This window comes from Homo sapiens, chromosome 7 (genome assembly GCF_000001405.40).
Source record: "Homo sapiens chromosome 7, GRCh38.p14 Primary Assembly".
Classification (NCBI taxonomy): domain Eukaryota; kingdom Metazoa; phylum Chordata; class Mammalia; order Primates; family Hominidae; genus Homo; species Homo sapiens.
In genome coordinates this window covers 81,692,459-81,706,842 of record NC_000007.14, presented here as the reverse complement: position 1 = coordinate 81,706,842, position 14,384 = coordinate 81,692,459, and the positions used below count along the sequence as shown (strand labels likewise).

The window sequence follows — 14,384 nt, the reverse complement described above, 5'->3', positions numbered from 1 at the left end:
TTCCTTCCTGCTTCTCAGCAAGGTCACTTTGATTTTGTTTGTAGAAAACTTCAACCCCTGTTACCAAACCAAATATATACACAGCTGACATAAACAAAGCAAAATTTGCAGAAAAAATTATAATTCATGTAAAGTGCTTTACCTGAGCATTTTTCACAAGTGACTTCTAGCAAGCATAAGCAAGTTTCTAAAATAGTCATTTAGAATCTCAGCAATTTAAAGCCTCTTTCTGCTTATGTATGTTTGTAGTATTCAGAATCTGCCATAACAAATGTGTTGTTCTTTATTATACTATGAATCAAATTTTAAATTTAGGTTATGTGCCTTAATAGTCTAAAATAACAATAGATAGGAATAATACTACAGAATTTGGAATTATTATGTTTTACATTTAAATTTTTTTCCTTCAAAACAGAGACTTGAAAGATTATGAAGCTTGGCTTGGAATTCATGATGTCCACGGAAGAGGAGATGAGAAATGCAAACAGGTTCTCAATGTTTCCCAGCTGGTATATGGCCCTGAAGGATCAGATCTGGTTTTAATGAAGCTTGCCAGGTTAGTTACTTTAGAAGATTTTGTATTTTTCACCTGGACAAGAATTGTTGGAGCATTTTCTTCAGCTGTGTGGCAGTTCGTTCTCTCTCATACAGATGCATTATAAACATATGTTACATGCTGTATATATATGTATATATGCGTGCGTTTGGGTCTCTCTGTGAGTATAGAGAGAAAGGTATTTGCAAAACTGTAAAAAAATGAATAACTAACATTGGGCCAACAGTCTGATCAGTCTGTTTTAAAATGGAAACTCAGCAGTTATTTGATAACTTTCAAATGTAAAATAATTATTTTAAAAAATAGCATTGACCATTTATTCTTAAATATTGGCAAATACATGACTCATTTCTTTACTACCTATTCCAAATGTCATCATTACATTTGGACATTCCCACCTTTTTTTTTTTTTTTTTAAGAAACAGGACTTCATTCTCTGTAAATGCCATATTAAACATGAACACTACATTTAATATGTTAATTTTGTGTTGAATCCAGTTGAGAGTACTTACCATTGTATTTTGTGTTTTCAGGCCTGCTGTCCTGGATGATTTTGTTAGTACGATTGATTTACCTAATTATGGATGCACAATTCCTGAAAAGACCAGTTGCAGTGTTTATGGCTGGGGCTACACTGGATGTAAGCTAGTTTTCAAAAGATGAGGCCATATTTATTTTATTTTAAAAAGAACACATTTGTCTTTGTTTCTTACTTTTCTCACCTTATTGTATGTTTTTTGCATCAATCTAGTGATCAACTATGATGGCCTATTACGAGTGGCACATCTCTATATAATGGGAAATGAGAAATGCAGCCAGCATCATCGAGGGAAGGTGACTCTGAATGAGTCTGAAATATGTGCTGGGGCTGAAAAGATTGGATCAGGACCATGTGAGGTAAAAAGGAAGTTCTTTAATAAGGAGTATGTGATTCATAGCTTAGTGTTTCATGTTTATTTTTTTCTGTTTATTTTTCTCAAATCAAAAATATTGTATACCAACCTATTCTAGGAAAGAGGAATTGGGAAAATTAACTCTGTAATATTCTGCATTTCTTTCAACTAAGCAGTGAGATAATCAATGTTTTATTAGCAGCAAACTATGATGACATTTGTCACTCAAAAAATAATAAGTGTGTAGAGCCGGAACTCCAAGGGAGAGCTATTCAAATGAGAAGTATCCAAATCAGTTAGATCAATGGTTTGCATTTTTCTAATGTTTTTCTAAATTTATTTTATCTTCCCAAATTATCTCGAAGTGAACTCCACTAATTATATCATTCAGAGATGCCTGGCTTTAAACTTTTAAATCTCTTTTTGGGTAAGCTGTTCCCTCTTTTGCTCTCTCGCTCTGTGTATGTGTTTAAACAGATTCTATTTTAAAAAGCCTAAAGGTCAAAGTTTGTGACTTTACGAGCTTGGACATTTCATTTGTGAGGCAACTGTTATTTCGGCTTGGCAATGTTCCTATCCCTATTTTACATAGACAAGCTGTTAAACTGTTAGTTTAGTTAGATTTTGAATGTGAGAGACATGTTCTCCAAGCTTCAGGGCTGTGGGATTGTGGAATGCTGTGTGTGGCAAAAGATGAAATGAGTTCAATGATAGTGAAATGTCCTTTGATATGTAGGAAAATGCATGCTGTAAGTATGGAACATAAATATGTATTGAAATGCAAGTGTTATACACCTTGCTCTGAGATTTTATTTCTGAAAAGAAGAGAAAATGTTTACTGTTTACTGAGTTTTTAGAACTGCTTAAAAATGATATGGTTAGAAACAGATTATATGTTTATAACCAGTTTCAAATTTGTTGCCTTTCTAGTAAATCATGAACAATGAAACCATTGTTCATTATAACAAGGGAACATTTACTAGGAGAAATAAATGACTATACTTTAAAAAGAAAAAGCAATAAGCATCCGGGAAACACAGAAGTTTCTAACTAGACCCAACCTTACAGATCATCTAATTATTGTCATTACCAAAACCAATTTGACAACTGCTTTTGAAGAATAGCCTTTAATTTGGATTATCACCTATATATTTTTCACTTCCCTCTTCAGTTTGAATTATTCATATCTGTATACTATATATGTTGTTTTTAACTTTATTGATAAGACTTGACCTCAAGTAGATTCCGCCACTTCTCAAAAATGTATTTATCCTCCAGAATGTTTTTAAAAATATATATGTCACTGACATTTAAATCAAGGTAATTTAGCCACTGAAATAAATTTGAAGGAGATATCTCCCAAATGTTTGTATAATAGCAGTAACATCATATTTAGTGAAAGTCTCCAGAGTGAATTACTTTGAGGAGTTTGTCTCAGTAATCACTAGTACATTTGTTTAAAAATCAGTTTTCTTTCCTCAACTGGCATAGTTTATATAGTCTCTTGGAATAAACTATTTTTCTTTACTGTGTGAAATTCTACTTTACCCCTAACTTGGTTTTCCCCATCACAGAATGCCAATGGCTCTCTTCTTTCCATTTGAATCACATAAGTTAATTTTGCAGTGGTTTCCCCCATCGCTGTTTAGGGAAAATTAAGGTAGTTCCAAACACTCTTCTGCATATAAAGATACCAAAAGCCAGCCACTGCATTCTAAGGAGGCTACATGGTTCATGAAAGTGGTGCAGCACAGTTGTAGTTGTTACATATAACACTATGTGCATTGTTTATTTATATTTACTTATTATATATTTTTATATAATTATATTTATATGAATAAATAAAACCATAAATGAATATATGCATGTATATATACACAACACAAATAAAGCTATCTGTTCATCTTTCCTCTATCTGATGATGCAACAGGCTTACCATATAAGAAATGCCATGAAATCACAGGACACGCTACAGAAAGGAGGGTATAAAATATAACTATAACTATATTAACTACTAATACCAGCAGTAACTGGAGGAATATTCCTTGCCTGGAAAAGCAATTTCAATTAACAGAATTATTTTGTTGACAACAAGTTTTTTATTTAACTTGTTAAGATCATGTAGGGCAGGATTGGGAGAGGCAAAAAAAAAAAGCTTTAGAAATAAGAAAAAATATAATGCAGTTTAATTGTTAAAACTATATGATTACAAGTTATTTTCTTTTATACTTGTATTTTTCTACATGTTCCAAATTTCCTATATTGAACATAAGAAGATCAAAATAAATATCAAATCTACCTTATTAAATAGGCACCGATGGTTATATGTTAGTCTGCATCCAACAAAGGCAAAGCACACTTAAAAGGATGGTTGACTCTTTTGGAAAAGGCAAGTCATTTTTAGGAGAATACCACACATAATAGAACACTTTAAACTTTGTACTTATCTCAGTCTTGGCTAATTCAGTAGAAAGTCAACAAATGTCTAGTACACTAATTTTTATATCTTCATATTTCAGTTGCAGTTATTCTCTTTTTCTGTATATATCTCTGAGATGCAAATCTATATATGATTATGTTAATGAGCTTTTTTTTAATTCCTAATAATACTTTGTTTTTGTATGTCTTACTCCTAGGGGGATTATGGTGGCCCACTTGTTTGTGAGCAACATAAAATGAGAATGGTTCTTGGTGTCATTGTTCCTGGTCGTGGATGTGCCATTCCAAATCGTCCTGGTATTTTTGTCCGAGTAGCATATTATGCAAAATGGATACACAAAATTATTTTAACATATAAGGTACCACAGTCATAGCTGAAGTAAGTGTGTCTGAAGCACCCACCAATACAACTGTCTTTTACATGAAGATTTCAGAGAATGTGGAATTTAAAATGTCACTTACAACAATCCTAAGACAACTACTGGAGAGTCATGTTTGTTGAAATTCTCATTAATGTTTATGGGTGTTTTCTGTTGTTTTGTTTGTCAGTGTTATTTTGTCAATGTTGAAGTGAATTAAGGTACATGCAAGTGTAATAACATATCTCCTGAAGATACTTGAATGGATTAAAAAAACACACAGGTATATTTGCTGGATGATAAAGATTTCATGGGAAAAAAAATCAATTAATCTGTCTAAGCTGCTTTCTGATGTTGGTTTCTTAATAATGAGTAAACCACAAATTAAATGTTATTTTAACCTCACCAAAACAATTTATACCTTGTGTCCCTAAATTGTAGCCCTATATTAAATTATATTACATTTCATATGCTATATGTTATAGTTCATTCATTTCTCTTCACCATGTATCCTGCAATACTGGTACACGAACACACTTTTTACAAAACCACATACCCATGTACACATGCCTAGGTACACATGTGCATGCACTACAGTTTAAATTATGGTGTACCTAATGTAACCCCTAAATATTTTAGAAGTATGTACCTATAGTTTTACCTCAAAAAAACCAGAAATCTCTAAAGACCAGTAGAAATATTAAAAAATGATGCAAGATCAAAATGATTAGCTAATTCTCCATACATAATCTGCAGATGATCTTCTTTGGTTGGCATTTCAGGTGTGGCCATCACCCAGAGTTAAATAACACCTAATCTAGGTGTTTACATGTATTCATTATCCTAGTTATTTCATGTAGTTTCTAATTCTTAAAGGAAAGAGGGTAATAGTTCTATTTGTGTAATTTGTTTCCTCCAAACTTAAGGCCACTTATTTACACAAGATATTTGTAGATCTATTTTCCTAAAGCATTTCTTAAGTGCTCAGATCAGTATCTAATTGAAGAAGTTTAAAAGTGTTTTGGTCATTAAAAATGTACTTAAATAGGTTAAATCTAAGCCTTGCTGCTGTGATTGGCTTCTAGCTCACTGCCTTTAAATTTTAAAAAATTTAAGAGGAAAATTTCCAAGTCTCCAAAGTTTTATAAATACCCTTCATCAAGTCATGCATTAAAGTATATATTGGAGAAAAAAATAAAAATACTTTTCTCAACCTGGAAGATTTTAGCCTAATAAAGCTTTTTTGAAGTAAAAGACAACTTGTAAAAGGAAAGAAACTAGTTTGTCTCAACTCTGTATTCATTTATTTTTTTTTTGAAGTAGAGTGGAATCTGTTGAATCAGATATTTTATCAAGATATGTTTATTTTTTCTTATTTCATTTTACAAAGTTCACTCCTAATGCCATATGTAACAGACATTTAAATTTTGTGTTCTGTATAACAGCCAAATTATCATATTTATCATTGTATTTGTCATGCTTAGCTAAAGATCATGTATTTGTTGAGAAATAGAATAACAAAAAGTAATAGGATAGGCTTTGAATTTTTGCAGAAATCTTCCTGTACAAAACACCTTTAAAAATAATTTTTTGAATGGTGTGAATCCAGTAGTCCCATTTCTCTGACTTAGTTTTCTTGAGTGATTTTTATCAAGGCCAAGTCCCCAAACAATTCCCTACCAGCTCTTTAGAGTACTGTTCAATCTGGACTAAAATGGTTTTAAGTTTATGGAGAGCTTAGTCCACAGAATATAGGGCGGCGAGTCCAGAAATGCTTATACAATTTTTTTTTCATAATAAGATATGTGCTGGCATCAAGAAACTTAAAGTGGAAGCAAAAAGACATCCAACTAGTTGCTGGTCTCTATCATCTTATCTGATGGTATTTCTATTTTCCTTATATAATACACCATTTTAGTAAGAACTCCTAGAAATTTCAAGAGCATATTGCCAAAATATAAAGTATATTTCATAGTTTCTTCTGGCTGAACCAGTGAAATTTTATTATTGCATATTAATGATATTTGTAAAACTTTTATAAAAATTGTCATAATTTTAAATACTCACATTTTAAAAATACTTCTTTAATGACTCTTCCTCTAAATTTCCTGGAAATACAGATAAAGATTAGCTAGATACAAGATACAGCTAAGTATTTAGACATTTTGAGGCTAGTATTTTTCATTTTATTAAAGGCTAAAAACAATACCACCAATAAATCATCAAACAAACCGTACAAAGTAATTCTCTCTTTGGGAGGCTCCTTTCGTGATAGAGGGACATGGGTGGAATTGACAATGAAACTTAGATGAACAAGGTCCATGTTATTTTAGGTGGTAGAACAGGGTAGAGTCATGTCATTATTTGCTGGTGGAAGACACTATTTACCAGGTGTTCTTTGCTGAATAAATCATTAAACATTTTTAAAAATCCAACAATCCACTTTATTTTGTGTCATTGACAAAAGGATCTTTTAAATCAGAAGGTTTCAATGCAATTTTTGGTTTGGCTGTTTGAATAATGGTTATGTACTGTTATAATTGTAGACATTTTCTCACGTCTACCAGGAATTGAAGTGTAAAACTAAAATATTTTTCATAATGCCTCTGCCGTGCAGAAGGAATGATAATCCTTTTGTATACTTCTTTAATTTTATTGTAAAATGTGTAATGACTTTTACCTATATGCTGTGGGCAGGTCCTCAGTAAAATCTATTGAGTCAATTTCTAGTATTAACAGGCTTTTGCTTGCTATCTAAGTGTTTCAAATTATGGGAAGTGTGAGACACTGGAAGGCAAGAAAATTAACAATAATGGCATGTGATAGCAAAATTGTATTTCACTTATTCCTGTGAATATTTCTTGTTGGTACCAATGGTACTGTACAAAGTGAATGTTATAGCCACAACATTCTCTTGAAAAGAACACTGTCAAGAAGTGGGAAATTGCTGTCAGGCATTTCATTGTTGTTTTTAAACTTTTTTAAAAGAAATACTGGTTTTGCAATATAGAGATCATGTGGTAAAGAATTTTAATAAGATCTTATACTAAAAAGCCTTAAATCAATTTATTGAGATTCAAAAAATACTATTATAATTAATTACATCCCATACATATAGGCAAACTCATTTAAAAAATAAAACTAATTTTGGTAAAAGTACATGGCCTTTGTTTTTAAAATACATAATTTTAAAATAAATCACTTGTCATGATAAAGTCCAAAAAGAAGTTATCATTCAACATTCAACTAAGGTTGGAGCTAAGAATTTACTAATACAAAAAAAGTTAAAATTTTTTGGACCATATATATCTTGACAGTGTAACTTTTAAGTAGGTTCATTTCCATTTGCACAGAAAGTTTCTGTCTTTAGGAAACTGAAAATGAAATACTGTGGATGCTATGACTGTTTGTCTTGTATGTAAATAGGAAATTAATAAGCTGCCTATTGAGTGGTATAGCTGTATGCTTACCCAAAAAAGGGAACACTGTGGTTATGACTTGTATTATAAACTTTCTGTAGTTAATAAAGTTGTTATTTTTATAACCATGATTATATTATTATTATTAATAAAATATTTTATCAAAATGCTTATTTTCTCTGTTATGATTATTTACATGTACATATTTATATCTGTCTTAGGGCCTAAATGCAGAAAATAGCAATGTTGACTTCACTGACAAAAATTACATACACGTTCTTGCAAAAACTATAATACAACTTGTTTATAGAACTAAGACAAAAATCATTATTTTATTCCAACTAATATCCACAGCAATATAGTTGGTCTTCAGTAAACCATTAATCTCTATGTACTTTAGTTTCTCCCACCGTAAAATGTAACTATTTGTTTATTCTTCATATTTGCTAGAATGGTGCTATGTTGTTATTTGCCAATATATACAAAATATTCCCATGAATTTTCACCTAATTTCCTTTCTCATGCCACTATATAATACAAAGGTGATTTTAAATTATTTAATGAATCACTTTGGGTATCTCTTTAAAGTGTGCATTCAGTTAAGAATAAATAAGAATCCAATGGATTCATTTAATTCAAATTGGAAGAACTAGTCCTCAATGATCTAAGCAAAGAGAGCTCTATAACACCACTGATTATTTCAAATTGTATTTTACTGCCTTTTTCCCCCAAAAGGTTGCTGTACTAATTTATTCTGGCATAGCTAGTGATCTCAAGTGATGACTAATGTATCTAATTCTATAGCCCATATTAAAATACCTAATCTTTTAAGTGATTGTGATTAAAGCAGAATATATACTTATCCATTTATGGTGGCAGTAAGAATATTTCAAATATATTAACTTTTGATTTCTCTAAATTTTGACCTTTTTTTCTCTCTTTTCTAGAATCCCATTCCATTCTAAACCTATATTCTGCTATTTAAATAGAATAGTCCAGCAAATCTTCTTTAAGAGATATTTGAACAGGGTCCTCAGTAAAATTTAGGGAGTGAATTGTTTAAATACCTGGGGTCTGATAAATAATACTTAGAAAATATTTTTGTTGGTTTCTTATTTATTTACTCTTATAAATTGTGATGCTCTAAATAGTTACCATTTGTCAGTGTCCTGAATAGAATCATCTTGGTCTGCATTTCCTCTGTGTTTTAGTCCCGGAGTTCAATTGCCATTCTATTTTATTATTCTCCTACACAGGGGCCATCCTTAACCTATACAATCCTTAAAAAGTTTTCTACATCACTTTCACCAAATTACAAGCCTCTCATGTATAATTCACATTAAAAGGTTTATTCTTGGCACTCTATAGTTTTCTTTTGTCCCTTATATTTACAAATATCTCGATTGCACGTGTTATTTTTAAAAGCCAAGAATTAAAAGTACGATGAAAGGAATACTTCTAGTAATTGGCGAAGAGTTTACAGTATTATGAAGAATATATTATTGCCTAAAGAACAGCTAAGCAAGACAGAAAATACCTGGCAAAGGAAAGAAACTTAATTTTATTTTATATAATTCAAAAGAAGTATGGGATCATAGGTTATATGTTTATTTATGGATTTTAAAAGTAAATAATAACATCAAAAAAGCACCAATGAAAACAAAAAACTTATCAATCTGACATACAATCTAACTCCAAGCCAACTTCAGACCCTCATCCCACTCAAATACTACTTAACATTATTTTATTTTCATCATTTTTGAACATGTCTTCATATTTAAACTTCATGTCTGTGTTCAAACAGTCCCCATGAACATCATGCTTTTCTTCAACATTTAAAAACCTTCATATGTCACTGGGTTTCCTATGTGATTCCATCCTCAACATCCCTATCCAAAAAATCATCATTTCCTCAGCTTGCCGCAGTGGCTGCTTACGCTTTCTTATATATATATATATATATATATATATATATATAAATGTTTTATTATTTTATTATTATTTTTTCCCACAAGTTATTGGGGTACAGGTGGTATTTGGTTAAATGAGTAAGTTCTTTAGTGGTGATTTGCAAAATTTTGGTGCACTCATCACCTGAGCAGTATACACTGCACCATATTTATAGTCTTTTATCCCTCACCACCCTCCCACTCTTCCCCCCAAGCCCCCAAAGTCCATTGCATCATTCTTATGCCTTTGCGTCCTCATAGCTTAGCATCCACATATTGGTGAGAACATACGATGTTTGATTTTCCATTCCTGAGCTACTTCACTTAGAATAATAGTCTCCAAATTCACCCAGGTCACTGCAAATGCTGTTCATTCATTCCTTTTTATGGCTGTGTAGTATTCCATCATTCATATATACATATCTATATATGTATATATAAATATATACATATACACACATATATATCTCTCTCACCATATATATGTATACCATATGTATAGATATAGTATTCCATCTATATACATACACACATCACAGTTTCTTCATCTACTCATTGATGGGCATTTGGGTTGTTTCCAAGATTTGACAATTGTGAATTGTTGATGCTTTCTTTTCATTTGTTACAATAGTGTGTGTATGACTGAATTAGATCAGTTTCGATTTATTCTGCTTTGTTTTTTTAATTTTTTTTTTTTTTGAGATGGAGTCTCGCTCTGTTGCCCAGGCTGGAGTGCAGTGGCATGATCTCGGCTCACTGCAACCTCCACTTCCTGGGTTTAGGCAATTCCTTCATCAACTACCTGAGTAGCTGGGATTACAGATGCATGCCGCCATGCCCGGCTAATTTTTGCATTTTTAGTAGAGACGGTGTTTCACCATCTTGGCCAGGCTGGTCTTGAACTCCTGACCTTGTGATCTACCCACCTTGTCCTCCCAAAGTGCTGAGATTACAGGCATGAGCCACCACGCCCAGCTATTCTGCTTTGTTTCAATGTGCAATCACCTCCAGTGAGTTTGAGCTCCTTGAAGACATTTAGCATTGTCATATTAGTAATATTTGCACACTATTTTGTACAGTGCTTCACATATTATGGTATCCAATATACATTTTATAATTATTAATATTCTATAATTCACCCTCTTCTTGAAGCCTTATCAATGTTAACAAGACATTTGGGATTTTTGTAAAAATTATGCAACTCTCAATGAGGATTAAGAATTTTAAGATTTTATATTTAGTTGCATTATTTAGATTTGAATTAGTAAGTGGGGCTATTTTAAAATATTTTATTGTATTTATACAATAGACAATGCAGCTGGAAAAGAGAAATTATTAACTTTAGAGAGTTTATACATTTATATTTGCAATGCGGTTATTAAAAATAGAAATAAAAAATTAAATTTCAATTTGCTTATGGATAAATATATTGTTTTATCAAACTAATAGAGTTTAGATTATGCTAGTGAATACTTTTTCCCATCTGGAAAAAAGATTCTTCCATGAAAGGTTGATGTCATAACATTGGAGGATAAAGTTAAAGGATAAATTATTGCAAAAATATCCTGAGTCCACAATAGTCCACTCATTATATACGTGCAAATATCCAATCTGTTGTGCATTGAGAAGTTTCACAGTATCATTACTTAAGGAACAAGAGGTTTTCATTTGATGAGTTTTCTTAACTGAGAGAAATGAACATGCGTAGCATGTTGCAAGGAAATGAGGTGAACCAAAGGCAGATGGATTTTCATATTAATTATTTTTCATGTAGTTTTAAAGCTTTACAAAAGTGTGAGGTTTTCAAGTTTCTGACTTTTTAGATGAATTAAAACCTAAATGTAGTAATAGCTCAAAATATATTGTTGTGCCGTAAAACAAAGAATTTATATCCTATTAAAAATAATGAGTAATGTAACACGTGGAAAATTGACTTAATGAAATAAGTGATTAAAGATATCTAGATTAGAGAAGAGAAGGTGCAAATATGATTAAATATGTTTCTTCAGTTGTCCAAAAAGTCTTTCTGAGAGGAAATGCTCAGGTCCTTTTGGTTAAAAAAGTAAGAATTTGTGAAAAATAAGATTGACATTTCAATCAGATAGTTTAGGTACCAGGCAGTACTTCCCAATAGTGAAGGTTGCAGAATATGTGAATGAACAAGAAGAACAGAATCTCTAACTACAAACGTTTTCTAAAGAAGGAAATATTTCTTTAATGACTTTCATAAGCTTTAACCAAACTGGTCTTTTGCAGGATCCTTAAAAGCTATACTGAGAAGAACAAAATGTTCAAGGCTTAAGTAAGCTTTGGAGATGCTGGGATGCTTTATACAGGCCACTTTGCTGTGGGATAGTTAAGAGCCTTTAGATGCTCATATGTGTCTTGAAGCTCCATGAGAGAGTATGGTAGAGGACATTCTTCAGATTTACTGTATTACAGAACCCCCTTACAATTACAGAGCCAATATTTCATTTCGTCTTAAGACACTAGAGTTCTGATAAATGCAGTCCGGAAAAACTTGATTTCCAAATTTACTTTCTAAATGAGAGGCAGTTATTACTACATGGTTTGAGATTTCTATGTCTTTATAATGTACAATATGTTTTCTCTACAAAAGCATCTCACAGAAAATTTTCCCAGATCAAACTTCTTTTTTACATGATTTACTCTTTTCTACTTACTTTGAGTAAAATTCAGACAGGAGGAGTTGATGCACATTTTTCTTGACATATACGTACCATCTATAGGAACTTTCCTATCAATAATACAGAACCAAAATTGATTACACAAAACTGTGAAGGTAGTCCTATTTTAACAGTACTAAAGCTAAAAAAATTGCCTGTTTTTTAAAATCTTTCTAGTGTTTACAACATCCCCTCCTCTGCCTAAATTTCCAGCTCTAGAAACAGGGCACCAAGGAAAAGAAAGACACGTAAAGATTATGAAAGAAAATAAAAATGAAAGAAGAAAAAGGAAAAAAAAAGATTAAAAAAGAAGTTGAGGGGAGCTGGGAGAAGTTTTCTGAAGGCATTTACATGTCCTTAGAAGTGAGGTCAACAAAAAGATCTAAAGCATTATTCTTCTTTATTAGCCTCTTTCCTCTTAATTACAATCACTTGTATTTCCAAAATCCACTTACAAACCAAATACAATGAGTCATCCCAAAATTAACAAGCACAGAGAATGCAGTTCTTCCACATTCACAATGTCCCATTTTTATTCTTGTTCTTTTTACTTCTAAACTTCCTCAGTAATGTCTTTTTTATCAGCCTTATTGAGGTATGATTGACAAATAAAAATTGTATATATTTAAGGTGTAAAACATGATGTTTGATATATGTACACATTGCAAAATGATTACCACAATCAAATTAATTAATATATTCATCACCTCACAGTTACCGTGTATGTGTGAGATGAGAACACTTCATTTTTACTCTCAACAAATTTCAAGTCTACAACATCTTCTTAACTATAGTTACCAAGCTGTAATTAGGGCTCTAGTACTTATTAAAATTGCTCTCTAAAATATCACAACTCCCTTCTCAGCTTCAAATGCTTTAGCATCTTTCCACCACCATGACTTTACAGGGGAGGTTGGCTGGATCTCAGCAAAGCAGCTCAATGGGATAGCACTGAAGCAGGTGGAGATAAAAGCAAAGGCTCATCTGTGCACTTAACGTCACTGCTTGGATGTGCTCTCAGCATCTAAACTGAACATTTCTAAAACTGAACCCCAATCTCTCCTTGCCCTTCAATCTTCTTCTCAATAAAAGGAACATCCATCGGGCTTGCTCAAGCTAGGATCCAGAAAGTCATTTTTAACCTATTTGTGTCCTTCTTTCTCCATTCAGCCAAAGTTTTACCTTCTAAATACATCTTAAATCACTCACATGTCTCTGTCTCCAGTGGCTCCACTTTAGCCCAAGGCACAATTTTCTTCCACTTTCATTACTATAGTAATCTCAAAACTGTGTTCATTACTGTAGTAACCTCAAAAATGTGTTTCTCCACGTTTACTCTCCACCTTCTATCCTTTTTTTATTTTTTATTTTTATTTATTTATTTTTTTCTTAGACAGGGTCTCTTCTGTGGCCCAGGCTGGAGTGCAGTGGTGCCATCATGGCTCAATACCATATTGAACTCCTGGGTTCAAGCAATCCTCTCACCTCAGCTTCCCAAGCAGATGGGACTCTAGGCATGCACCACCACATCTAGCTAGAATACACATTTTAAAATGTAACTCTGTATTATTCTCCTGTTTGAATATTCTCAATGATTTCCTATCAGCTGACCAACAGATGAACTATCCCTGATGGTTCAACTCCTCACTCACCTCTTTTCCTTTTGTCCACTATATTCTAGCTACACTAGTATCTTTCAGTTCTGGGAGTAGGCCAGGAAGCTCTTTCCTGCCTCAAAACCTTTGCATATGCTGTTCTTTCTGCCTGGAATTATCCCCCCACCCACCAGCTTTTGCCTGACTAATGCCTACTTCATCATTCAGCTTAAATATCACCAATCATCCCCCCACCCACCTTCCTGATCCAGTTACACATTGCACAGGATGACACACTTCTATTTCGGGACACTTACCTCAATTAATTAAATTGTCGTTTGCATACACAGATATGAATATTGTCTCTACTACTAGATTCTAAGCTCCAGGAGAACATGGGCTAGGCTAGGTACTACATGATAAATATTTTTAAAATGAATGTGTCAGAAATTATGTTCACAGTTTTTGTCTTGTTTTCTTTCAATTC

At 32.3% G+C, this 14,384-nt stretch overlaps 1 protein-coding gene across 2 annotated transcripts in view; it reads left to right on the top strand.

Moving 5' to 3' along the window:
* Positions 1 to 7,833, top strand: part of HGF (hepatocyte growth factor) — a 71,038-nt gene extending 63,205 nt beyond the window's left edge. For both annotated transcript variants that reach the window (NM_001010932.3, NM_000601.6), the window contains exons 15-18: positions 416 to 556; positions 1,090 to 1,196; positions 1,308 to 1,453; positions 4,086 to 7,833. In NM_001010932.3, the coding sequence (NP_001010932.1) occupies positions 416 to 556; positions 1,090 to 1,196; positions 1,308 to 1,453; positions 4,086 to 4,262 (571 nt within the window). In that variant the 3' untranslated portion in view covers positions 4,263 to 7,833. The remainder of the gene's footprint in view (positions 1 to 415; positions 557 to 1,089; positions 1,197 to 1,307; positions 1,454 to 4,085) is intronic.